At 50.0% G+C, this 26284-nt stretch overlaps 1 long non-coding RNA gene across 2 annotated transcripts, besides 5 other annotated features; it reads right to left on the reverse strand.

The window, feature by feature from the left end:
- Nucleotides 4946–5479: an enhancer, noted in NCBI's record as "OCT4-NANOG hESC enhancer chr11:44710524-44711057 (GRCh37/hg19 assembly coordinates)". NCBI's record gives its function as "activates a minimal SCP1, AML or CMV promoter by ChIP-STARR-seq in naive H9 embryonic stem cells {active_cell/tissue: H9 hESC(naive)}" and the evidence as "EXISTENCE:reporter gene assay evidence [ECO:0000049][PMID:30033119]".
- LINC02704 (long intergenic non-protein coding RNA 2704) lies at nucleotides 5275–17331 on the reverse strand. 2 transcript variants are annotated; one of them, XR_931234.3, is made up of 3 exons: nucleotides 17229–17331; nucleotides 12193–12285; nucleotides 5275–5472 (listed from the first exon to the last, which is right to left on the reverse strand). It is a non-coding gene; the product is annotated as a long intergenic non-protein coding RNA 2704 (long non-coding RNA). The 2 variants fall into 2 exon arrangements; XR_007062658.1 differs by lacking the exons at nucleotides 12193–12285; nucleotides 17229–17331 and adding an exon at nucleotides 10827–11185.
- Nucleotides 8102–8602: an enhancer, noted in NCBI's record as "H3K4me1 hESC enhancer chr11:44713680-44714180 (GRCh37/hg19 assembly coordinates)". NCBI's record gives its function as "activates a minimal SCP1, AML or CMV promoter by ChIP-STARR-seq in primed H9 embryonic stem cells {active_cell/tissue: H9 hESC(primed)}" and the evidence as "EXISTENCE:reporter gene assay evidence [ECO:0000049][PMID:30033119]".
- Nucleotides 24323–25522: an enhancer, noted in NCBI's record as "P300/CBP strongly-dependent group 1 enhancer chr11:44729901-44731100 (GRCh37/hg19 assembly coordinates)". NCBI's record gives its function as "activates an origin of replication core promoter dependent on BRD2, BRD4, P300/CBP, MED14 and CDK7 cofactors, with strong dependence on P300/CBP, by STARR-seq in HCT116 cells {active_cell/tissue: HCT116}" and the evidence as "EXISTENCE:reporter gene assay evidence [ECO:0000049][PMID:35650434]".
- Nucleotides 25171–25465: a silencer, noted in NCBI's record as "tiled region #3015; K562 Repressive non-DNase unmatched - State 22:ReprW". NCBI's record gives its function as "represses a minimal TATA promoter and a strong SV40 promoter by Sharpr-MPRA in K562 cells {active_cell/tissue: K562}" and the evidence as "EXISTENCE:reporter gene assay evidence [ECO:0000049][PMID:27701403]".
- Nucleotides 25171–25465: an enhancer, noted in NCBI's record as "tiled region #3015; HepG2 Activating DNase matched - State 8:EnhW". NCBI's record gives its function as "activates a minimal TATA promoter and a strong SV40 promoter by Sharpr-MPRA in HepG2 cells {active_cell/tissue: HepG2}" and the evidence as "EXISTENCE:reporter gene assay evidence [ECO:0000049][PMID:27701403]".

Raw genomic sequence — 26284 nt, forward strand, 5'->3', positions numbered from 1 at the left:
AGGATGAGAACTGGCCCAGGGCTCCCTGAAGGTCCCATCTGGCCCAGCTACCCCAGGCTGGGGTTTCTCAGACTGCAATCTGGAAATGTGTCCTTAGGGGGTCCTTGCATTCTATGAAAAGTGTCCAAAAAATGGCCGGGCACAGTGACTCATGCCTGTAATCCCAGCACTTTGGGAGGCCAAGGCAGGCAAATCACTTGAGGCCAGCAGTTCGAGACCAGCCTGACCAACATGGTGAAAACCCATCCCCACTAAAAATACAAAAAAATTAGCCAGGCATAGTGGTGCACACCTGTAATCCCAGCTACTCGGGAGGCTGAGGCACGAGAATCACTTGAACCTGGGAGGCGGAGTTTGCAGTGAGCCAAGATTGTGCCACTGCACTCCAGCCTGGGCAACAGAACAAGACTCTGTCTCAACAAAAAAAAAAAAAAAAAAAGAAAAGAAAAAGAAAAAGAAAAAGAAAATTGTCCAAAAAATATTTGTGTGCTTTCATTTTCATAATGAAATCCGAGGAATGAGTTGTACATACACATAATGTACTAAAAGTTGTGTCTGGGACATAGTGAAGCCTCCATACATGTGAGCTATTTTTATTAAGAAAAATAAAAAAGCCATCTATCATTTATTCATCTCTGTTGCAGTGATAATTCGCAACAGAAAGACATTTTCCTGGGATAAGATTTTGGTTCTTGGGCCGTTGTTTCTCAAATTGGGACCTGTGGATCTCAGGGGCCCCCAAGACACTCTGTAAAAGGGGCCTGCTACTCAAGTTGAATAAGAAACAAGTCTGGGGCCCCTGAAGAGCCGGGAGTGTGGGCTCTGATACCTCTCGTCCCTGCTTTCATGTCTTCCCTTCAGCCGGGGTGACTTGCTTTTTCCTGAGGCCTTGGAAAGACGCGTACCTTTCCCAGGAAAATGAGTCCCTGAGGAGGCCTCCCCGCCTGCAGGCTCACTCCAGCACCTGTGTTCTGTAACATAGCCCTAATTGAAATCACATTAACATTATGATTCCATTACGGGGAACAAGAGGCTGGCTGCAGGAATGCGCCCCACGGGGCCTAATCAGCTGGACTGGATCATTTATAAAGGGCTGTGCATCTGCCTGGAGCTTCAGTGTTAAGTAAGGCAGACAGGGGCCTATTCATTATTAACAAGGCTTTATGTGTTTGGCCAGGCAGGAGTACAAAGCTGGCCGCAAGGGGAGTCTGAGGGAGGAGAGGCATTCAGGTGCTGACTGCAGGTGCCCCGTCTGCTGGTGCCCCGTCTGCCTTGTCGGTCAGTGGAGTCTGAGATGGAGCTGCTTCTGCCCAGGTGGAGGCGACTTCCTATCCCTAAACCTGGACTGTGGCCACTCCTCATGCTGAAGGGGGAGGCTGAGTAACTTGCCTGAAGTCCCTTAAGTAATACGTAGTGGAGTCAGAATTTGAACCCAGGCAAGCTGAGTTCAGAGCCCACATGCTTGGCCAACTTGCGGTCTACAGTCCACCCCTTGGCAGTTCATACCTCTCCTGAGATGTGCCCTGGTACCAATCAGTGCTCCCCAAACTCAAAAGCTTTGAGGTTGTGATGTAAAGGAAAGAGCACTGGAAATCAGAAAATGTGGTTGGAGGGCCAACTCCTCCATTCATTTATTACTCTAAGTACCAGCACTGTGCCAGGCACTGTGTTAGGTGCTGCCGCTGAAAAGGCGACTGAGACCCAGTCCTTGCTCTATAGGAGTTCAATAACCACTTGGTGACACCCTACGCTGCAGGGACTGTGTCCCCCAAGCACTGGACATATGTGGTTTTGTCGGCCCCTTAACGATAATGAATGAACCTTTCATCATAATGCAGTGTGTGAGAACCATGAACACAGAACTTCATCAACTGTACATATTCTGTCATAAAATGTAATTCTAGATCATTAAATGCTAATTTAATTACATATGATTGGAGGCGACAGCGTGTGCTGGTTAGGAGCACAGGCTCTGGGATCCGACAGCCTCAGTTCTAATCCTGGATCTGTTACTTATCAGTTGCGCCGCCCCAATCATGTTACATCACCTCCTATGTTTGCCCCTTCTGCCTTACTTTGTCCTGGGTACAGGGGATGAGGTGGAAGGAGGCCACCAGGATGAGCAATACTGATACCTCGTAGAAAGAGGTTTGCAGAACTGGGGAAGAAAATGGTGGGCAGAGGAGTATGGTGGCTGAGAGTGTGGGGTCTGGGGGTAGAAAGACCTGGTCTCTAGTCATAGCTCTATTCCCGTGGCTGTGTGACCCTGAGCGAGTAACTACATGGGGACTCTCACCTTCTACACCTGCAAAATGGGGGCAATAGCAACACTTACCTTACAAAGCCGTTATCAGGATTGAATGCAATGACAGCAGTAAAGCGCACAGCACATGGTCTGAAAGCAGTAAGGAGTACACACAAAAAAGATCCCCCAAACCAAACACCTAATAGCCTTCACCTAGAATTTTAGAAGAATCTTCACCACCCAAGGTGTGATGGGGGTATTCTTAGATTCCACCAGCTGTGGTCCATTTGAAACAGTGAGATGCGTTGGTAAGACCCATTCTGTAGGATTGAAAGTTGATGATGGGCGTGGATATGTCTGTAAACAGAAACACAGTGCACAAGTGTGCAACTCCCCTCATTGAGCATTGATCATACACCAGGCCAGGACTCAGATGAGATGGGTGGGGAATGAGAGGGATGATCTCCGGACACCCAGGAGAGTCCAGTTGGCTGGAGGAGGTATTGGGCAACTCAGACGACCCCACATGTATGGTATCAACTTGAAAATCAGGACTTTGGAGGGGAGAGAGTGGGCAGAAAGGTGGTGGCTGAGGTGCCAGCTCCCCTGCTGCTCCCTGCCCATGCTGCCTGGCATTGCTGGGGTCTGTTCACTGGGTCTGACCACAACCTCTCTTGTGTCTTCTTCCCTCATCCAAGCAAGAAAGACAGTTTGGTTCCCTTCCCTCCAATGTGCTGGGGACCCTGAGTCTGTCCAAATAATAATTTTTAAAAACAATCAGGCTTTATTGTGAGCCAGACCCTAAGTCCTTTACATTGGACTTTAACAGCTGTGCTGGGAGGAATTCTGCAGATGAGAAAACTGAGACTTAGAGAGGTGAAAGGACTTGCCCCGGGTTCCACAGCCGACAGGTGTAGCCTGTTTGATGCCGAGGCTCCAGTTCTATTCATGATGCTGAACTGACCAGCACCCCCTGCCTAGCCCAAGGTTCAATTTTGTGACCATGAGGGGTGTCTCCCCACGTCGTTTCTTACTCCAGTAATGAGAGATGAAGGACCTTGGGATAGGTAGGAGTCCAGCCTACAAGAGCTCCCTCCCCAGCCCAGACTCCACCCTACAGTAGTGACCTCGTTATTTGCTCTTTCATCCCAGTCTTCTTATGAAACAACAACAGCAACACCAGCAATAACAAGAACAGCTACCACTATCTAGTGCTCACTGTAGGCTGGGCATCCTACGTGCACCATTTCCCTTGACCCTCATGTTAACCATGAGAGGTGGACATAGTTGAATGCACATATTTTTACAGAGGAGGAAACTAAAGTTGAGAGGAAAAGCAGAACCAGGATTGGGTTTTCCCCAGAATTTCAGCTCAGTTTCTTTTAACATTGACTGAGCACTTCCTCTCTGTAGGAACTGTGTGTGCTAAGAATTGTATATCAAAATCCCAGGAAGAGAGGCACTATTGTTACCCCCGTTTCACAGACGAGGCCACTGAGGTTCATAGAGATTTAAGTGACTTGCCCCCAAAATACATAACTTAAGTGGCAGAGCTGGGTCTTGAACACACCTTTCTGAGATCAGACCTGTGGACAGAATGTCCACAAATGACAGTGACCTTTCTGATGCTGAGGCTGGGGAGAAGGGCATATCTGGGGCCAGCGCAAAAGCAGCCCAGCAGGGAAGGCAGAGGCAGAGCCTCCTTTCAAAGCAACCCAAAAAATACCCAGTTGTCTTCACCCAATAGCCCCTGATTAAAAATCGAGCATGTGAGCCTGGCTGCCCAGGAGCTGAGCTGAGATCAGAGACCACTTCCAGCAAGCCTGGGTCTTTTTAAGTTACTTATCTGTCTGCATTTTTCATCATTTGCCATTGATTTGCAAGGGCTCTTCCTGACAGTCCCTCTGGTGCCTGCCTGGCAGGATGGCTGGCTCTGGTCTCCCTCATTTCTGGGCACTTTCACGTTCCAGCAAGGCAGCCTGGCCCCAGCTGCCCACGCAGCATCTTCCAAACCTGGACTCTCCATTGCCAGGACTGTCAGGGCTGAGGGACCTTTGTCCCTCTCTCTTCCTCACCCACATCTCCCCACAACATGAGGGCTGCCAAAGTTCTGGAGCAAGCAGATACCTTAGCACAAATATGACACTCTTGCCCTCCTCTCTCTCACTATGCCCTAATCTATGCTCTGCCCCTCCCTGCCCCAGGAGGTTGACCTCTAAGGATTGCACCCCCAGGCTCCCTTACTCTCTTGATTGTGGTCGGGCTTAGGTGATGGGAGACACTGGCGGGAAACCAGAGGGAAGAAGGAGAGAGGGGTTGGGGTATTTCCACCAAGGTTTTGGCTGCATCTTTCTATAATGGCAGCTGTGTTGCAATGGCCTCTCTCCCACACTCCAGTCCTTGCCGGGTTCCCTAACGCTGTTCCCTCCCCCAATGCCTTCAAGATTAGGGGTAGTAATGGCTTCCTGCTGTTGTTTGTTCCTGGGTGCCTCGGCATCCCTTGTTAGTTCCCTTAGTTCCATCCATACCTCTGTTAAATCCTCCTCGAAATCCTAGTTGATGTGACTTCTGTTTCCAGTCAAGATCCTGACTAATCCACAGGAACTCCTGGTTCCATGAAGTGCAAACATGGGCAGGAATAAAAGCTCCCAGGTGGAGGCTGCCAGGGATACGGGAGAGACTCGTGCTTATTTCTGTTTAGAGGACAGAAGTTACATTTCCTCCAGCACACACCTTAGGTAGAGTGTCCTCATCTCTCTCTCTATCTCTTATTGAGGAATAAACAGAGATGCTCTGTTTTATCATACTCTTTTGACAGATATTTTGTCTAGAAAGGTTTGAGGCTGGATTTGAACCTCCTGGATGGAAAGGGCAAAGCCCCCTGGTGAGGGAGTGGGCTCACAAAGCCCATATAGCCTTCCACTATTCCTGGCAAGGGTGTGACTTCAGGCAACTTCACCACATTCCTCACTGAGTACTTCAATTGTCATGCTTTGTCTGTGAGTAACAGAAAGACCAATGAAAACAGCTTGAATAATGAGAAATTTATTATCTTGCCTAATGAGATACCCAGAATGAGTGGTTCTAGAGTTGGCAAATCCAGCAGCTCAATGGAGGTAAAACTCTCAGTTGGCGGTAAAACTCTCAGTTGGCTTCTCAACTAGTCTCTTGGCTTTTCCCTCATGGTCACAAGGTGGCTGCCACAGCTCCAGTCATCACAGCAAGACCTAAAGCAGGAAGGCAAGAATCCCTGATTAGACACTGATCCAGTTGCTATAATAAGACACAAAATAGCAGTGGATTAAGCACTATAGAAATGTATTTTCCTGTTCTTTTACGGTCCCAGGCTAGTTCAGGTTTAACATGGCAGCCCAGTGGTATTGAGGACTAGGTTTCCATATCTTGTTGCCCTTATTGCAAAGCTGGAGGTGGCTCATCATGTAAGTACAGTCATGTGTTGCATAGCAATGGGAACATGTTCTAAGAAATGCGTCATTAGAAGATTTCATTGTTGTCTGAACATCATAGAGTGTACTTACACAAACCTAGATGGTACGGCCTGCTACACACCTAGGCTAGATGGTATAGCCTATTGCACCTAGGCTATAAACCTGTACAGCATGTCCCTGTTCTGCATACTGCAGGCAATTGTAACACAGTATTTGTGTATCCAAACACATATAGACATAGAAAAGGTATAGTAAAAATACAGTACTGTAATTTCATAGGACCATTGTCTTCCATGAGGTCTGTTATTGACCGAAACATCTTTATGTGGCACATGACTGTACTCTATTCATCAGGGAGGAGGAGGAAAGGGAGGGGAGAACATGCCCCTCCTTTTGTGGGTACACACGGTAGTTGCACACATGGCTTCTACTCATATTGTTGGTTAGAACATGGCTGCATGGCCACATCTAGTTACAAGGGAGCCTGGAAAATGCAGTTTTTGGCTGGGCAGCCACATGCCCATCTAAAAACTATTCCTAAGGCCAGGCGCCTTGGCTCACGCCTATATTCCCAGCACTTTGGGAGCCCAAGCTGGGTGGATCACCTGAGGTCAGGAGTTCAAGACCAGCCTGGCCAACAGGGTGAAACCCCATCTCTACAAATAATACAAAAATTAGGCAGGCATGGCGGTGCGTGCCTGTAATCCCAGCTGCTTAGGAGGCTGAGGCAGGAGAATTGCTGGAACCTGGGAGGCAGAGGTTGCAGTGAGCCAAGATTATACCACTGTACTCCAGCCTGGACTACAGAGTGAGACTCTGTCTCAAAAATAATAAATACATACATACATACATACATACATACATACATACATACATACATACTGTTTATAGAGGCAAAAAGGGGAAAACAGATACCTGGGGACAAAGATCCATCTCTTCACAGGCCCTATCTCATGTCCCCTTTGAATAACAAGGAAAACCTTCCCAGGAACCCCCAACTACCACCCCACCACCAGGCTCCCTCGTACATCTCATTGGCTAAGTAAGGTTCATGCCATGCCAGTTCTGAACCTGCAAGGAAACCTGGCTGGCTGAGATGCAGGTTCTGCCAGGAAAAACAGAAAGGCAAGAATGCCTGCTGAGTGGTCGGCTAAAATTGTACTGAGTGACACAGCTACAACCTGGGAAGCAGCTTGGTTCTTCTATTCCTACACCCCACCCCCTCCTTTTCTTTGGTGGCAAGCAACAGAAATTGGATTTGCTTAGCTAGGCCAGCACAAGAAAGAAGCGAACAGCTGGTGAGAAGGATTGGGATGCTGCTGGATCTCAGGGGCCAGAAGCAGGACATCACATGCCTCAGGAGTCTCTACTCTTTCTGTGGGCTGTCCTCATACCCTCTCCTTACAGACTGAGTCCTCCACAGGTCGGGGACATGGCCAGTGAACCCTCCAGAGCCCCGTCTAGCAGCCCCATCACTAGGCGGGAAGACTCCTCCATTCCAGTCAACCTGTGGAAGAATTCTGAAGAGGCCAGTAAACTGTGATTTAGGGAGTGGGATCATATGAGAGCAGGACAACCCTCCTAAAAGCATGAGATCGACTTGGGAGAAGGTAGGAGCCCAGAAAAACTGGTCCGGCTGGAGCCTAGGCAGATGAAATAATAGGTGAGCATTTCCATTCTTTACTAAGACTGGAAAGCGACGGTGGTGGTGGTGAGGTAGGGATGGCAAGACCCTAGGAAGCTGCTTAAACTGCAGGAGGAAGTATCCCTAATTAAACTTCACATGGTGCATCGTTCTGACGTGTTTTCTGATTCTGGTACAAATATGCTGAAGATTGCTGTGCACTGGTTTTCAAATTGTGCTCCAAGGAACCCCTGGAGTCTGGAGATGTGGGGGTGGCCCCCCTGGAGTCAGTGGCAGCATGATTTTTGCCTGTTTTATTGACACTTTAGTTTATGTTTCTATAAAATGGCAATAATCATGGCTATTCGTAAGATTATTTTTAGTCATAAATTAGATTATCCATGAGAAGGGCCTGGCACATAGGACATGCTCAAACATTGTTGGCTAGGGTTATTATTTATTACTTTGTATAAGAAATTAGTTGAGGCCGGGTGCAGTGGGTCACACCTGTATTCCCAGCACTTTGGGAGGCCGAGGCGGGCGGATCACCTGAGGTCAGGAGTTCAACCAGCCTGGCCAATATGGTGAAACCCTGTATCTACTAAAAATACAAAAAAATTAGCTGGTTGTGGTGGCGCGCACCTACTCGGGAGGCTGAGGCATGAGAATTGCTTGAAGCTGGGAGGCAGAGGTTGTAGTGAGCTGAGATGGTGCAACTGCACTTCAGCCTGGGTGACAGAGCAAGACTCTGCCTCAAAAACAAAAAAACAAACAAAAAGAAATTATTTGAAATAAGCATTCTGTGGGTTAAAGCAGTTTGAACTGACTGGTTGATCCAAACAAAGGGTCTAGGAGTCTGGAGACCCAGTACCACTCGGCAACTAGGGGATGGACCCTGGGCAAGTCCTGGGCTCCTCCTGCAGACGGGACCCTCCCACCCCAGTGCTCTTATATCACCTGAAAAATAGGCCCCTTCCACCCCCAGCCCTAAAGACACAGCCCCATGTCAGAGCGCGTGGCTGGGCAGGATTTCAACCTGACCCTTGAGTTGGGTGCCCTTCTGCAATGCAGGCCCCGCCTAGCTTTCTGGTCTCAGTCTCCCCTTTGTTTAGGTGCGGGTCACACAGCACCCCGTCTGTCCATCAGCGTGGTTGTGACTGTGGATGTGGGTGACTCTGTCAGGATTCTGCCCCTGCTGTGCCTGTTTTGCCAGGGAGCAGGACTGTTGCTGTGGTGAGGTGACCAGCTGGGAGTCACGGGTGATGGCAACGCAGGACTGGCAGGGTGGGAAGGGGGAAGCAGGAGCCCCCGGGAAGATGAGCTGGATAGCTCTTGCCTGGCCCCAGGGAGAGGCCTGGGGTGGGGGGTGTCCGTCTGCCATCTTCCCCGACCCGGCCTCACCCCAGGGGCTGACAGATACCCCACTGATTGACTGGGCCCCTGAGAGGCCCTCCTGCCACGTCCTTAGACAAGGCCTTTGACCTCCTGCTCTGTACAGGCAGCCAAAAGGGGCACAGGGAAGGTGGGGAGGTGACAGTCCTCCACCTCCACCAGCCCTGGGGCAGCCTCTTGTCCACCCCTTCTGAGACGTCATGGAGGGCCCCTGCTTCCATTATTCATGAGCCACAGCCTTAGAAGCCTGACACTGCAGACTGGGTGCTTTCCACCTCTCTCTGACTAGTCCTTTCGACAGCCTGGTGCAGGAGTTCCCAAACATGCCTGATCACTAGAATCAACTGGGGCACTTGTCAAAAATATGGCTTCCAGACCGGGCATGGTGGCTCACATCTGTAATCCCAGGACTTTGGGAGACCGAGGCGGGTGGGTCAGTTGAGGCCAGGAGTTTGAGACCAGCCTGGCCAACATGGTGAAACCCCATCTCTACTAAAAATACAAAAATTAGCTAGACATGGTGGTGCATGCCTGTAATCCCAGCTACTTGGGTGGCTGAGGCAGGAGAATCGCTTGAGCCCAGAAGGTAGAAGTTGCAGTGAGCTCTGGGTGAGCTCCAGTCTGGGTGACAAAGTGAGACTCTGCCTGAAAAAAATGGTCTCCAAAGTCTCATTCCCCTTGCATCCCAATTCAGTGGATAAAGGTGGGGCCCAGGAACCTGCATTTTACCAGCACCTCAAATGATCTGATGAACACTGAAGTTGGAGAGTCACATAGCCATTGAGATTAAAGGGGTGGGCTATGGATCCTTTCTGACCTGGGTTAGATGCTTTGTGGCACTGGGCCAATGACTTACCCTCTCTGGTTGTATCTGAGACAAAATGGGGACAACATAATCACCACCTCAGAGAGACCTTGCAAAGCCTGAGACCAGGCAGGAGCAGCCCTTACAACTGTGCCTGATAAGGATCAGCAGATGGCAGTGACCACTGGTCTTTTTATGATTATTAATGTCATAGCTAACCCCTGCCTGCACAAGGACACTGCGTGGCTTAAGTGAAGAAGGCAGGACTCACAGGGCATATGTTCCAGCATCTAGTCCCACATTTTATCTGCTTCCAGGGCCCCAGGATGAGAGCTTAGCCCTGTCCACCCTGAGGGCCTGTTAATGCCATTAGTTCTGCCGGCCTCAATCCCCTCCCACCTCACTCAACACCTCCCTCTCCAGAGCTCCATCAGGCCGCCCGTCTGCTTCTCCCATCAGGGCTGCCGCACGTGCTGCCCTCTTTGGGGTGGGGGTAGTCAATCCCACTTCAGGTGATGAGTGGGGAGCTGCAGCAGGCCCTGGGCTGGGGGCTAGGGAAGGGGCCCCGAGTTGGGAGCTGGGGAGGGCAGGGAGTGCATGGGGGGTAGGGGCTCTGCCCGGATGCCCCTGTTCAGGGTCTGCCCTTGGTTCTGAGCCAGTGCCAAGTCTCAAGCTCTCACCTGGACTGGGCAGACGTTGGGATGGGGTTGCCTGAGTGGAGACTGAGGTGGGGGGATATAAAAGAGTTAAAATCTTTTCCCCCACAACCTACCAGCCTCCTCCCCTGCTTCCCCCAGCCTGAGGGTGTGAGATCCCAAGATGCAGAAACCAGGTGTCTGCACCAGCTCCACAGCATGTGCTGGGCCTGCAAAAGAAGTTGCCTCACAGTCCTCCAACCTGAGAGGGCTTCCCACAGGGGAAGGCTGAGAGGCGGGCAGATCTGAGTTCAATTCCCGGCCCTACTGCAGCATGTTCTGCTGCACTAGGCCTTGACTTCCTTGTCTATAAATTGGGCATCACAAAAGGCCCACAGGACTCCTGTCAGGATGTCAGGATGTGTGACGATGCTGAGTGGTGCACACGGTGCGTGCTTCACTCACGTGGGGCCGCCTTTGCATACCTGCGCCGCACAAACCACGTTAATGGAAAACGAAACCAAATCACAATCCCCCACCAGCTGGGCTTCTCTGTAAATTAACTGTCCTCGTTCTCCCTGACCCCTCAGTCCTTGTCCCCACTGGGATATAATGCTTACAGTGTTGCAGTGTGACCTAGGGCCAGGGCTGCTGTCTAGATGTGTTTCCTACTTACCCTCATATCACAATGTTTTCTCTGCACTGCAGGCTTCATTCGTTGTTTTTGATCCAGTACGAAACTTCTGAATGCCCCAATGCATGAGGCCCTAGGTTACCCTCTTGAACATCCACTCACAGCTTTTCTTTTCCAAGAGCTCCAACAAGTTCCAGAGGTGTTTTTTGTTTGTTTTCTCTCCCTTTGTCTCTGAATTCTATTAATCATGATCCCTTATTCACGCCATCCTCTTGCCATAGGTTCATAAACGGTTCTCCTCTGTTTATTTATATAAATAAACACCCAAGACCTGGTCATCCAACACAAGAATCAGAACATTAACCAGCACTTGCATCTGTCTGTGGGCTTCTTCCCTGTCTGACCATCAGCCTCCCCTACCCAAGGAAGCCACTATCCTGAAGCTTTCTGTAGGTCACATGATCATCCCTAAACAAATCACTGTGGCCTGGGGGACAGAACAGGCTGATTGGCCAGGTCTGGATCAGGTGATCATACTTGGAGTCAGGGCCTGGGGTAGAATTAGCCCCATGCAATGCACGTGGGTGGAGGGGAGTGAGGGTTGGGTGGTTTCCCAAAGGCAATCTGAAGGGCCAGGGAAAACAAGAGCCATCAACCGCACTTTGTCCCAGGCTCAGTGTCACTTGAACCAAGTCTTCCCACAGCACCACAGGGCTCAGGCTTGCCCTGCTGACCCCCAAGGCCTGGACCTGAAGCTCCTGGAAGAACAAGAGTTGATGAGAAAGGACATTCTCACTTCCTCCCACGGTCTGGAGCCACAGGCTGGAATCTCCAGCCCCACCTCAGCTGAAGGAGTGGGGAAAGGAGGCTGTCTCTGGGGGACTCGTAGAGGGCAGGGCAGCAGGCTGGGGTGGACAGGGTCCTGCTGTTTGACTCCTCCTGCTCCTCCTCCTCATTATTATCATGTCCTCAGGGCATGACCCAGGTCATCTCATTTAGTCTTCCCATGGTTTTATGTGGAGGGTCATTATTATCCCCCTCTCAGAGCTGAAGCTTCCAAGGCTGGCTAGTGAGAGACTGGCATGTGTTTACCCAGCAAAGCGGGGTCAAGCAGAGCCGTAGAGTCCTAGAGCCAGGTGGCCCTGTGGGACTGGCTTAACCCTTACGTTGGGGAACCCAGAGCCCAGACAGGTTAGATTCCCTGTCCCAGGGCCTACAGTGAGTGATGGCTCATAGCCTGACTCCTAATTCAGGGCCTGCTCCATGAAGCCAGATGAACCCAGGTGTGAGACCCGGCTTCTCCCCTTCTGATTACTTAAAGTCTGTGTCCCTCGGTGACCTCGTCCGCAAAAGAGGATGGCAATGGGCCCCACGTGGGAGCTTACCGTGAGGTTAATCACGTTCTCACCTGCAAGGTGCTCAGCATAGTGACTGGCACATGGCGAAGGCTCACGAGTGAGGGCCCTTTTCAAGATCATCATTTAGCCCCATGTTTCTCCACCTGCAACACGGGAAGAAGAGAGGCTCAAGTCATCTAAGGGGTGCGGCCATGCTTCAGAAAAATGTAATATTGAAATAGTCCCAGAGAGGTAGTACAATGTGGTGATTAAGAACGCAGACCCTGGGACCGGCCGAGGTTCCAGTCCCCACTCTGCCATGTATAAGCTGAGCTTTCTTGAGCAAATTCCTTAACTTTTCCATGTCTCAGTTTCCTCATCTACATAATGGGGTTAATAACAGTTGCTGTCTCCTGGAGTTGTTGTGAAGATTAAACAAGTTAGCCTCTGAGTGAAGTGCTCTGAACAACACCAGGATATGGCTAAGGACTTTGTAAGTATTCACTGTTACCAAAAATGCTGGTTATTAGCTGTCACTTTGGACAACCAATCATAGTTATAGAAATAAAATAGAATGTAAATGTTGTTAATCTTCCCAATATGAAATAAAATCACATAGTCAACAAACATTCGGGACTGATTGTTAATTTCCTCACCTTTTATGGAGAGTCACTAGTAGACAGTGCCTAGAGTGGATAAATGAAGAAACAGAAATGTATTTTTTAAATTAATTGATTGATTGATTTTGAGACAAGGTCCCTCTCTGTCACCCAGGTTGGAGTGTAGTAGCATGATCATAGCTCACTGCAGCCTCAACCTCCTGGGCTCAAGCAATACTCTCATCTCAGCCTCTCGAGTAGCTGGGACTACAGGCGAGTGCTACCATGCCTGGCTAATTTTTGTATTTTTTTTTTTTAGAGACAAGGTCTTTTGATGTTGCCCAGGCAGGTTTCAAACTCCTGGGCTCAGGCAATCCTCCTGCCTCGGCCTCCCAAAATGCTGGGACTACAGGCGTGAGCCACCAAGCTCAGCCAGAAATGTATTTTCTATGATTTAGTGTGAAAAAAAAAAAAAAAAACACACAAGCTGGGCACAGTGATGCGTGCCTGAGGTCCCAGCTACCTGGGAGGCTGAGGTGGGAGGAGGACTGCTTGAGCCCAGGAATTCAAGTCCAGCCTGGACAACATGGCAAGACCCTGTCACTTAAAAATTTTTTTTAAATAAATAACAATGAAAAACAAACTTGGAGTGTTTAGGAGAACAGAGAAACTTACTTTTTATTATTTTTTAACCATATGCATAGGTTCGTTCCATGAGAAAAGTTTTTAACAAATTGAAAACAAATAAATGACGGTAAGTCATTTATAAATCAGTAACAGTTCAAAGAAAGCACTTGCTCTCTATGTTAGTAAGAAACAGGAGATGGAACAGAGAAGTCCACACGCCTACTCCAATTAGAGTTCTTTGGGCAGCAAGCATGTATTACTTATAACGAGAAAATATGTAAATGAAATAAACTTGAAGCAAATGTGATGATTTTGATTCCCAGCAGGCAGGAATATGACACCTAGAATCACACTGTCCCTTCCTCTCACTCCTGACCAGGCCTGGGCGGGAATTCCACTCCTATTATCGAATGTTGCAAAAATCCCAGAGCCGCCTGGATCTAATCCTGGCTGGGCCTTCATATCCAGGTGGGCCTCCAAAGCAGGGATGAAGTTGCCCTGAGCAGCTTCCCAACCCAGCAAGAAGCCAACTGGCTGCTGGAGCCAAGAAAGGCTTGTGCTTAGCTCGCTTCATAGAAGGTCCTAGAACCGGGAGCAGATAGTTCCAGGCAGTCCCAAGCATTAGCTCACCTGTGAGTGGTAATAAAAGGGGCATTAGAGAGCTTCTTTCACCAACCTGTATCCATTCATTCACTCACCCATCAAATGTGTGTTAAGTCCCTAGCAATAGTGTCTAAATTCTCACCACTTCATAAATACTCTGCAACCCTGCTTCCAGATCCTCACATGCCTGACACCTTCTTTCTATGTGGATGGTGCATAACATTCCCATTAATATTCTGAAATAAACCCCATGGATGTTGTAACCTACCTACAGGCACGATTTTTAAAAATAACCATATACAATGTCCTATCTGTAACATAAATAGGAAATATAAAGAATGTCCCGTAAAATAAAAACTGTACTTGAACAAGTAAGCACTCAGGCCCAGCTGCTCTGGAAGACATAGGAAGCAGTCAGGGGCTTGCAGCCTGCGCAGGACCACCATCAAGGGGACAGCTACAGATGTACAGGAACGTGGGGCACTGAGCCGAGAAGCCAACGTTCTAATCATGTCACTGTCAGATGCACGTTTCCAAAATTGTGAGCAGTTCTTGGCATGTTCTGAATAAAACTAAATATAGAGTTCTCTTCTCTTGTTTTTGTCTTTAGTTGCATCCTTGAAAATTCAGTATATATTCAAAGTGTGGAAAAATGCTTTATATTTACATGTAAAGCAGAGCTAAAGTCTAGACTCACATAATGATAAACATATTTTCTTCCCTACATGAATGTCCAGCAGGGCGTGTGAAAGTCACGTGGCTTGTGGGGACAGTTCCTCACTGGGCTGCATGATCCCACTTTTTTTTTTTTTTTTGAGACAGTCTCACTCACCCAGACTGGAGTGCAGTGGTGCGATCTCAGCTCACTGCAACCTCCGCCTCCTGGGTTCAAGCGATGATCTGCCTCCTGGGTTCAAGCGATTCTCTGCCTCCTGAGTAGCTGGGACTACAGGTGCGTGCCAACATGCCAGGCTAATTTTTGTGTTTTTCGTAGAGACGGGGGTTTCACCATGTTGGCCAGGCTGGTCTCAAACTCCTGACCTCAGGTGATCCACCCACCTCGGCCTCCCAAAGACCATCTCCCTCTTAACTAATCACCTGCCTTCCCAGACCCACCACCTGCTCAGTTTAGTGGTACTCCCCACCTGACCTTATCTTTGTGACAATCGAAAATGCCCCCCATTCATTTCCAAATCATCCCTGGGGGCAGTGCCACTCAACTGAATGTGTCGTTTAATCATCTCAACAATCTGATATAAGAGGTACTAACATTATCCCCTTTTTACAGATGAGGTGAAATGGCTGAGCCAGGACCCTCACCGGAAGTTGTCTTAAGTCCACGCAGTCTGCTATACTTCCTTCCCGCGTGTCCATTGGGCCTGCAGTGGCACTGGGGACCCAAATATGAGAAAGGCATCCCAGCTGGGGGTTGCCAATGCATAGACCCCCCTGTCTATACAGCATGGCGCAGATTCAGACAGAGGAACATATGGCATGCTGGGATATGCAGCAGAGGAGTGAGCAGAGAGCAAGAGCACCACAGCTAAGCCTGGGGTAGAGATGGTGGAGGAGCGAGGGAATGGCATTCCAGGCGGGGGAACTGCATGAGCAAAGGCATGGAGGACAAGGCAGCATGAAAGGTTCAGGGTCTGTGAGAGGCAGGGGGTGGTGGTGGGGACATAGGTCTGGACAAGCAGGCTGTGCTGTGATTGTGAAACCAGAGAGGCACGGTCAAGCAGTGTGGTTGGGCTGGGTAGGCAATGGGGAGCCATGGGAGGTTTTTGAGCGGAGTAGCTCCATGAAGGTGTTGGTTTTAGAACAATCCCTGGGAGCAGGGAGGAGAGTGAACTGGGAGGGTGAGGCAAGGGTGTGCCTCCAGTGAGCGTGCGTCTCCACAATCCAGGCCAGGGATGTGGGTGGGAGCAAGACAGCAGAGCCCTTTCAGAGGCAGAATTAGCAGCCTCACAACAAACAGGCTGTGGGTCCAGGGTGAGGAGGAGCCTCGAATGACCTTGGAAAACAGGTAACGGCTGGAGGAGAAACAAATTCAAGCAGACCTGGGATCTGGGTGAAGACATTTTGAATCTGAACTCTTTCCCCAACACTGCATCTCCACTGCTACTTCGTCTGCCCGGAACAGTCACCCTCGGCTTTAAGTATGGCTGGGGCTCCTGCTAAATGTCCCCTCTTGAGAGAGCCTGCCTGACCTCCCTGTCTACAGTAGCTGTCACCTCCTTATTTCCCATCCAAGCTCTCTACTTATTCCTGTTGCAACAGCCATCATTGGTAACTTGACCTGCTAGTTTTCTGTTTCCTAAAATAGAGCCAGGATCTGTCCTATTTTTGGTCTCTTCCGTAGCCACACTGTGTGTGGCACATAGTACCTGCTTGAAAACATTTGTTGAATGAATAAATTGAGAGAGAAGGACATCAAGGGAGAAATGCTCAGTGAGTACTCAGAAATGCCCCTGCTGCCTGAAACCCCCTATTTGAGTCTCTCTCCTTTGATGCCAGTCTTCCTGGTCTTCTGTAAAGTAATCGAGAAGGTCATTAGTCCTCTCTGAGCCACCTAGCTAGGAAGGGGTATGTCAGGCTCCTAGTGCAAGCCAGGGGTAGAGATTGGGGGTCTCCGTGGACCTTTCCCCCACTCTCTGTAAGAGGATGGTAGGAGGGAGATCCTTCCATCTCTGCTGTGTGTGTGTGTGTGTGTGTGTGTGTGTGTGTGTGTGTATGCTGGGGCTGTTAGGGGTGGGAGTGGAGGGAGGAGGAGGCAGCCTGGAGCCGAGTCCTTCCTGGAAGCCAGAGGCAGGATGCCAGAGGCATGTGTTCCCCAGCAATCCCCAGGCCCAGGGGAGGGAGCGCCAGACCTGAGCTCAGCAGGTTGGAGATGCACCCTCCAGCCCACCCCCACCCTGCCCTGCAAGAGGTCCTGCAGGCCTGGCCAGCACCCTCTTTCTCTCCCTACAGCGCTCCTCAAGGAACTGTCTGGCCTTAATAAAAGAAGTGAAACCTCCTCAGTCATGTTGTGACTTCCAGCGTCTCCCTTAATTCCCACACTAGCCCTGGGAGATGTGCATTGCCACGGGCCCTATTTCACAGATGGGAAAACCAAGACTGAGGGAGACTGTGGCTCATCCAGGGATGCAGAGCCAGGCACAGACAAATCTCATGCTCTTAGCCATGCCATACGCCATCATCTCCACCCCAGCCCTACACCTGGAGCCCCTACACCTGGATACCCCACATGTAGATGCCCCATGCCTGGGCATTCAACATACCTGGATACTCCATGCCTGGGCATCCCAGGCCTGGGTGCCCCACATCTGGGCATCTCACACTGGCAATGGGAACAGGCTGAATGGGGGCCCCTGCCCTGGAGACCCTGACAGCCCTGCTCCCAGAATCACTAACACTTGCAGGAGGGCCTGCGTTTTTATTTCTGTCTCCTTGGGCAGGAAACATGGCCAGGAGAGAGATAAGGAGGAAAGAAAGGAGGGGCAGGCTTCTCTGGAGCCAGGGCTGCTGCCTCCCCCTCCACACACAGGGCAGAAGAATAGAAGGAAGTGGCCAGAGAAAGGCAAGTGTCTGAGTCGGGGGGTAGGGGATGTGGGGCAGGGAGGTTATCATCTACAAATAACCCTATCTCCAGGACCCCCAGGAGAGGATCAGAAGGGGCTGAGGCCAGAGGGTCTGGGCTGTGTGGCTGAGGGGGTGGACAGGGGTCATCAGTGTCTGCCTGGGAGATGATCAAAGGGCCACACAGAGGACAAGGACATGACCCAGGACCCTCCCCTCTGCCTGCTGCTCTGACCCTGCAGTTGGCCAAGCAGGTTGTGCAATGACCCACCTGCCCATTGGATCAGTCCTCCCCGAATCCATCCAAACCTTCGTTCCCCCACCCACTCATCCATCCATCTACTCCTCCTGCCTCCCTGCCTCTGAGCCTTCCATTCTCTGTTCCTTCTGCCCACCACATCTACCTTTCCTCTTCTCCTTCTTTCCACTGCATCTACCTTTCCTCTTCACCTTCCTGACTCATTCTTCAGGTCCCAGCTTAGAAACAACATTCTCCGGGAAGCCTTCTCAAACACCCCCACAAAATCCAGTGTAAGGAACATGGCCCATGGCCTCCCACAGCCCTGGTCTTCTCTTTCTATGATACTTATGACAACGACAATTTCATACTCACATCCATTTCCCCTGCTACCTGAGGTAGCTGATAATTCTTCAGCACCCAGAACAGTGCCTGGCATACACTAGGTGCTCAATAAGTTCATCTGGCATCTTTACTTTCTTATCTGTGTCTCTTCTCTCTTCCCTGTCTCTCTTTCCCTTTTCAAGGTTTCCTGAACACCTACCTGAGCCAGGTTGGTGTTTGCCACTGCCCTTGAGGCTGGCAGAGCTAGCATGGGAGTAGATGAGGCAGTGGAGTGGATGGATATCCTACCCACAAATCATATGACCAAAGGTAGAGAGAGACTGCATTCTGTTTGGGGTAAGGGAGGAGGAAGAACTGAGAGTGGGCTTCTCGGGGGAGATGGCACTTGGGCAGTGGAGATGGCAGTGGAGATGGGCAGTGGAGATGGCTGAGGGGTAGGCTCAGGAGTCACACAGGGAAGCACAGGCAGCTTTAGGGAGTGGGAGGTGTAGGGAGGAAGTCTCCCTGAAGAGAGGGGGCAGAGTGAGAGTGATGCAGTAATAGCAGTATCGAAGTAGTGGCAGGGAAAGAGAGATGTGGGGGTGAGGCAGGGAGGGAGGGAGAGAGAGAAAGAAACAGAGATAGAAACAGCAGAGAGATGAGGGAGAGCTAGACAACACGGCAATGTGACAGAGAGAGAGAGCAGGACACCAAGAGACCCCATCGCATGCCCAGGGTGTGTGCTGGTGGAGGCCAGAGGACAGTCCAGGTGCCTGGCTATGGTGTGTCCTGCCTTTGAGAGAGTGGCAGGCCCTAGGCAGGGGTTGGGGGGGCCTGGCTGCTAATCTCCAAGAGAAATGGTCATGGCCATAGGCCTTAATGGAGTCGATGACTCACAGTGTGTGGGGGGGTGGGGAGGTGGGGTGGGGATGGGTCCCATGCCAACAGCTATGCAGGAGACAGCTCTGGCTTTGAGGATGAAACTCTGTAGCCAGGGCCAGTGCCTGGGGCCTGCTTGCTGTCTGGATGCCTCCAACATCGAGAGGCTGCCTTTGAAGGAGAGGCCTGGCCGAGCCCAACTCCTAGCCTCTGGCTGGGCTGTGTCCTCTTCCCGTCCTTCAACCTCTTCCTCTCCTGGACTGGGAGGGGTAATCTGGGGCCTTCCAGAGGTGGCCAGGAAATGGGAAGGAGGGTGCAGCACCAGTTTTGGGGCCCCTCTAAGGGTGAAACTGGGGTGCAAAACATGGGATCTGCCATGACATGGACATCAGGATGACTAAGAGGCCCTGGAATGTGGGGAGCAAAGCGAAAGGCCCAGGGATGTTCCTGTCCTCAGAGCAAACTGTTTGAGCCTGGCCTTTCTGGACCTAGATCTTAGCAAACCCTAGGCATTGTTCAGGCTCAGAGTCCAGGTAGAGCAGACTTGTCATCTGCCCTCTGGGAGGGCTTAATTATTAAAATTAAAACAGCTACCATTTATTCAGAACTCACTTGGGGCCAGGCATGGAGCTACGTACTTTACACAAAACACTGTGTTTGTCCCCAGTGACTGTCAGTTGCAGGCACAAGTATCACCCCTGTATTAGTTATCTATTGCTGTGTAACAAATCACCCCAAAGCTTAGTAGCTTAAGACAGCACTCATTTATTGTCTCACAACTTCTGTGGGTGAGAAACCTGGGCATGACTTAACAGGGTCCTCTACTTCAGTGTCTCTCACAAGGCTGCAATCAAGTCGTCTGCAAGGGCTGTGGTCTCATCTGAAGGCTTGAATGGGAAAAGATCTCTTTCTCAGCTTAGTCAGTGGTTGTTGGCAGAATTCAGTTATCTCTGGGCTGTGGCCAGAGGCTGCTGTTAACTCTTCATCACGTGGGCCTCTCCCCCACACACACTTGCTTTTTCAAAGTCCACAAGCAGAAGGTGGTAGAGTCTGCTAGCAAGGTGGAACTCACAATCTTTTGTAACGTAAGCAGATACAAAGTAACATCCTCAACATTGCTGTATTCTATTGATTAGAAGTAAGTTAGTGACTCAGTGGAGAGGATTACAAAAGGCCATGAACACCAGGAGGCAGGGTCACTGGGACCATCTTAGAGGTTGTCAGCCATGCCTCCATTTGATAGATGCAGAAACAGAACCATGAGAAGTTAATCATTCAAGGTCACAGCTAATGAGTGGCAGGGCCAAGATTTGGACATGGGTCTGTGGGACTTCCAATCTGTAGCAATGCAGAGCCCAGGCTCTGGTAACAGACTGGCTCCACCCCTTACCAGTGATTGATCTTGGGCTAGTTAGTTACCACTTGAAGCCTCAGTTTCTTCTTCCATAAAATGAGGATAACAATCATAATGATAGAAAATCTCACGTAGCACTTACTTTGTGCCAGGTACTCTTCATGTAAGTCTTTTTATGAATGAGCTCACTTGATTCTTACAAGCACCTGTAAGTATGAGCCCTCCCATTCTGCCCACCCTAAATCATACCATGAGATTTCCTTTTTTTGAGGGGGGAGGGGAACGAAGTTTTGCTCTTGTTGTCCAGGCTGGAGTGCAATGGCACGATCTCAGCTCACTGCAACCTCTGCCTCCTGGGTTCAAGCGATTATCCTGCCTCAGCGTCCCGAGTAGCTAGGATTACAGGTATGCGCCATCAAACCCAGCTGATTTTTGTATTTTTAGCAGAGGTGGTGTTTCCCCATGTTGGTCAGGCTTGTCTCAAACTCCTGACCTCAGGTGATCCACCTGCTTTGGCATCCCAAAGTGCTGGGATTACAGGCATGAGCCACCGCGCCTGGCCCAACATTTCCTTTTGAAAACTGTCCAGTGGTTTCCCTTCCCACTAGAAGTAAAAGCCAAAGTCTTTTGCTCCTTGCTCACTCCTTTCCAGCCACTCTGGCTTCTGGCTGTGAATTGTCCTCCCGGGGCTCTTGTGTGTGTAGTTCCCACAGCCTGGAGCCCAGTCCTGCAGCTGGGGCTCCCTCCTCACTTCCTGCGGCCTCTGCTCAAGTGTCATCTCTTAGAGGGCCCTGGGTCCCCCTGTTTAAATACCACTCCCCCTCCCATTTTCTTTATTTTCCCCCTTTGTTTTTTCCCCTCCTGTTTTCTTTTTCTTTTTTTCTTTTCTTTTCTTCATTTTTCTTTGAGACAGGGTCTCACTCTGTCACCCAGGCTGGAGTGCAGTGGCACAATCACAGCTCACTGCAGCCTCAACCTCCTGGGCTCAGGTCCTCCCATCTCAGCCTCCTGGGTAGCTGGGACTACAGGCGTGCATGCACCACCATGCCTGGCTAATTTTTTAAGAAAAATATATTTTCTGTAGAGACAAAGTCTTGCTATGTTGCCCAGGCTGGTCTGGAACTCCTGGGCCCAAGTGATCCTCTCACCTTGGCCTCCCAAAGTTCTGGGATTACAGGCATGGGTCACTGCACCTGGCCCCCGCTCCCATTTTCTATCCCCTTACCCCGCTTCTCTTTTCATCACAGTGCTGACGTTATATGATATCAGTTTTGGTTTCTTCATTGTCTGTCCCCCTCAATAGATTATGAACACAAGGACAGAGGCATTGTTTGTTCCACCGAATCACTAGTACCCAGAATAGTGCTGGCCTACCCCAAGGCACTCAATAAATATTTGCTGAATGAATGATTGGATGAATGCTAGCTTTTGGTCATTGAGGGTAAGGCCGTGAAAAGCACCTCTGACCCTTCAGTCCAGCCTGGCTGCACCTCTTCCTCCACTCCTTGCCTTCTCCCTCTAAGAAACTGAGGTGAGGAGGAATTCTGGGTTCTTGGGAATCACTGAAAAGAAGCTACCCCACTGTCGCTCAGAGCAAAGATATAGCCTGGCCCTGAAGGGAAGGAACTGCTCTGGTACCTTCCATCCATCAGTCCTGGCTGCCATCCACTGAATTTAAACAATTTGGTTAGATAGAGCAGTTATGTCCATTTCCAGCCGGGCACGGTGGCTCACACCTGTAATCCCAGCACTTTGGGAGGCTGAGGCAGGCAGATCACCTGAGGTTAGGAGTTCAAGACCAGCCTGGCCAACATGGCAAAACCCCATCTCTACTAAAAATACAAAAATTAGCAGGCACAGTGGCGCGAGCCTGTAATCCCAGCTACTTGGGAGGCTGAGGCAGGAAAATCGCTTGAACCCGGGAGACGGAAATTGCAGTGAGCCAAGGTCGTGCCACTGCACTCCAGCCTGGGTGACAGAGTGAGATTCCATCTCATAAATAAATAAGTCCATTTCCATTGTAGTGGCAGAGAATGCAACAATTAAAAAACATAAATGTGAATTCAAATGCCAACACAAATACTAATAGCTCATGTTTATTGAGCTATTACTAGGTGTGAGGGGCTGAATTCTCTCCTCCCCAAATTCATGCTGAAGTCTTAACCTCCAGTACCTCTGAATTTGACTGTATTTGGAGTTAAGGTCTTTAAAGAGATAATACATTAAAATGAGTCCACTAGGATGGGTCCTTATCCGATATGACTTATGTTCTTAGAAGAAGAGACTGGGACATGGACCCGCACAGAGGAAAGACTGTGTGAAAGCATGGCATGGAGACAACTGTCTACAAGCCAAGGAGAGAGGCAGCAGAAGAAACAAACCCTGCTCACACCTTGATCTCAGACTTCTGGCCTCCAGATCTGTGACGATGGAAATGTCTGTTGTTTAAGCCAGCCAGGCTGTGGGACTTGGTCAGAGCAGCTCTAGCAAGCTCAGACACCAAGCATGATGCCAGGCTGCGTGTGCAAATCTGGCCAATGAGGTACAAAGGCAGTACTAATGAGGTTTTCCTCTCTCTTATAAAGAAGCAGGTTGGATGTGGTGACTCATGCCTGTAATCCCTATGCTTTGGGAGGCCGAGGCAGGAGGACTTCTTGAACTCAGGAGTTTGAGGCCAGCCTGAGTAACATAGGAAGACCCTGTTTCTACTAAAAATTAAAAAAATCAGTCCAGCATGGTGGCGCATGCCTGTAGTCCCAGCTACTTGGGAGGCTAGGAAGTGGGAGAAGCATTTGAGCCTAGGAGACTGAGGCTGCAGTGAGCTATGATGGCACCACTGCACCCCAGCCTGAGTGACAAAGTGAGACCCAGTCTGAAAGAAAAAAAACAAAGGGAAGAGTCCCACTCTTTGAAGGCCTATGAACATTGTTGTTTGAGTATGCTCTGCCTGGAGCTGCTGCAGCCATTTTGCCACCATGAGGCAAGCAAACATGGATACACAGAAAGATGAAAGGTACCTGGGTCCTCGATGCCTCTGCTGAACTGTGAATTACCCACCCTAGTTCTGGACTTTTATTTATATGAGAAAATGGAAATTCGTTGCTTTTTAGGCCACTTTGAGTTGGGCTTTTTGTTACCTGCCTCTACACCAGTGTGGCACCCCAGTGACAAAGGCAGTCCCTAGTCATACCCCAAGGCCCTGAGAAGTGGAGTGACCTGTCTCACATTATACAGCATATGAATGGGGTTCTGAGACTCAGGCCTCATCTTTCTACTCCAAAGTTCAAGTTCTCTGGGCTGTTTCAAGCTGCCTTGGCCCTGAAATTTTGGATGGGACAAGACCCCTGGAATCTGAAACCACTTGGCCTCCCACATTGCCATGGGAAGCAAGGAGGACTCCGAGCATGGAACCAAGGCCAAGGGGTGGACATTTAGTGGGAGCAATCATGGACTCAGGGAGAGGCAGGGCTTGCTCAGAGTCAGGGGCAGCAGACCACAGAGGAGGCTGCCAGGGGAGGCTGTGAGCCTCAACTTCCTCCCCTACACATCGGAAATGATAATAGCGCCTACCTCTTTGGCTTGCTGTGAGGATTAAATGAGAAAATGCAAAATGCCTAGAGCAGTATCTGGCCCATAGTGAGTAGTCATAGGTCTTAGTTTGTACTATTACTTTGTGACATCAGCCTGTTTCCGTTTTGTCCTCCAGTCCCCAGCTGGGGCCCTGCCTCCTTCCACCTGAAGCAGCAGCATGAGTGGAAAATTGGCTTTGGGAATCTCTGAGTCCTTCCATTATAGGAATTTGTCCGGGTAGCAGAGCAGCTCTGTGATGTTGTGTATTGAAACCCAAGAGCCCCGCCGGCACGACTGGAATTCAGGAGAAGGGTCCCTCGGGATTCCCTGCACAGCCTGCCAGGCCCACCCACGCTCTCCTCACTGTGTCAGCCTGGCTGAACTCGGAGGGCTGGACTGTGATTAGAGGAGCTGTGGTTCCAGACGACGGTCACCCTCTTAGCTACTGTGTATCCAGCACCACTGTGTACTTCATTTCATTCACCCACTCAGTCCTCCTGAGCGGTAGGTATCCTGTCCCTGAAGAAGAAACTGAGGTTCAGAGTGGCGAGGTCAGTTTTCCACAGTAAGCGGCGGAACTGTGATCTGCACTCAGACCTGTCCAGAGGGAAAGCTTGTGCTTTGTCCACTCTCAAGCACACAGAAAAGTGTCACTTCATCCCACCCAAGCTAAACCCAATTGAGAATCAAAATCACGAATTGGTCACCAAAGACTGTGGTTAATTTAGAGACCACTACGTGTGAAGTGCTGTGCCAAGCACTGTGCTCTGATATCCCTCTTGGGGTTTCACAGTTTATCTTACCACAGTAAAGGCTCTGAGAAGTCCTGCTATAAAGAAGCCCCTTTAACGTTGAGTCACTACCAGCTTCCTGCTTGGTAGAGTTCTGTTTTCCAAGAATCCCATTCACACCCCTTGCACAGAACATGCTTTTGAAAAAGGTCAGTCTAGAGAATGGGAATGCTGGGGAGAATCCTTCCAGGACCTTCAGAACAAACCCATGCAGACGATGCGACTTCCTGCCCAGAGGGGCACAGAGATAGCTGAGAACAGAAAGGGAGGGACTCCAGACTTGAAGTTTCAAAAGGGCAGGAAGTACTCAGGTACCTGGATGATAGATCTGGGGATTGCGTGTGGGTAGATGGATAAAGAATGATCTCCACCCACACCTCCAGCCAGAAGGAATTATTCAGACTGTGGAGGGGGAGAAGGGAGAGGATGTGGCCAGGGAGAGGGGTCAGGGAGCCCAGAGGATGCAGCAGGACTGGCTGTAAGGATTCAATGCTGGAAATGGAAAGCACTGTATGAATTTTAAGCAGCAAATGAATTAAAACTGAAAATTAGATGGTTGCAAAACTGTGGGAGGGCTGGAGAAGGGCAGTCAGGGGCAGCCCCTGGACTTTGGTTTGGAAGGTCATGCCTGTTGATATGACTCAGATGTGCGGAAGCTGCTGCTGCCACTGGAATTGCCACATACCTGTGAACCTGGTGAGCAGATGCTAGGGCCGCTCCAGCTGCAGCTCGGTGGCTACCACCTCTCTTCCTCCTTCCCCACCTCATGGGGGCATGTTTACCTATAGAACCTCATTCATAGCCCAGATCCTAGCTGCAAAGGAGTCTGGGAAAGATGACTGCTTAGCTTTCCAACTTCCCTCTGACAGAATAAGATTCTTAACCTGGGAGTGAGTGTCCCAGAGGCCAGGAGAGCACTCAGGGCCCCTCCAAGAACCTGCCTCGACATTCAACAGTAGGCCAAACCCTAGGGGCTTGCTTGTATTAGTCTGTTTTCATGCTGCTGATAAAGATATACCTGAGACTGGGTAATTTATTTAAAAAATAAAAAAGAAGTTTAATGGACTCACTGTTCCATGTGCCTGGGGACCGAGTGTAGTAGGAGAGAAAATCAGAGAGGAGATGGGGGCAGCTAGCAGGTGGATCATGCAGGGCCCTTGCACCTTGCATAGACTTTGACTTTGACTCAGCATGAGACACTGCCATCGCAGAGTTTCAAGCTGAAGAATGAAGTGACGTGACCAACATTTTAACAGGCTCACTCTGAGTAGTGTATAAGAGGAGATACACCTGCAGCAGGGGAGGCAGGAGGAGGCAGTGAAAGCATGAGAGTTGAAAGTGAGGGGCTGTTGCAATAGCCCAGGGGAGAGATGAGGGTGTTTTGGAGGAAGATGGTGGCAGAGGAGGTGGCGAGAAATGGCTGGATTCCAGGCGCATTTTGCAAGTGCAGCTAACAGGATTTCCTGACAGATCAAATGTAGGGGGTGAGAGAAAGATGAGTCAGGGATGGCGCCAGGGCTTTTGGCCAGAGCACTGGAAGGATGGAGTTGCAATCAACTGGAAAGATGAGGCCATGGATCTTCCTGCTTCTTGCAGGTTCTG

Source organism: Homo sapiens, chromosome 11, assembly GCF_000001405.40.
Source record: "Homo sapiens chromosome 11, GRCh38.p14 Primary Assembly".
NCBI classification, from domain to species: Eukaryota; Metazoa; Chordata; class Mammalia; order Primates; family Hominidae; genus Homo; species Homo sapiens.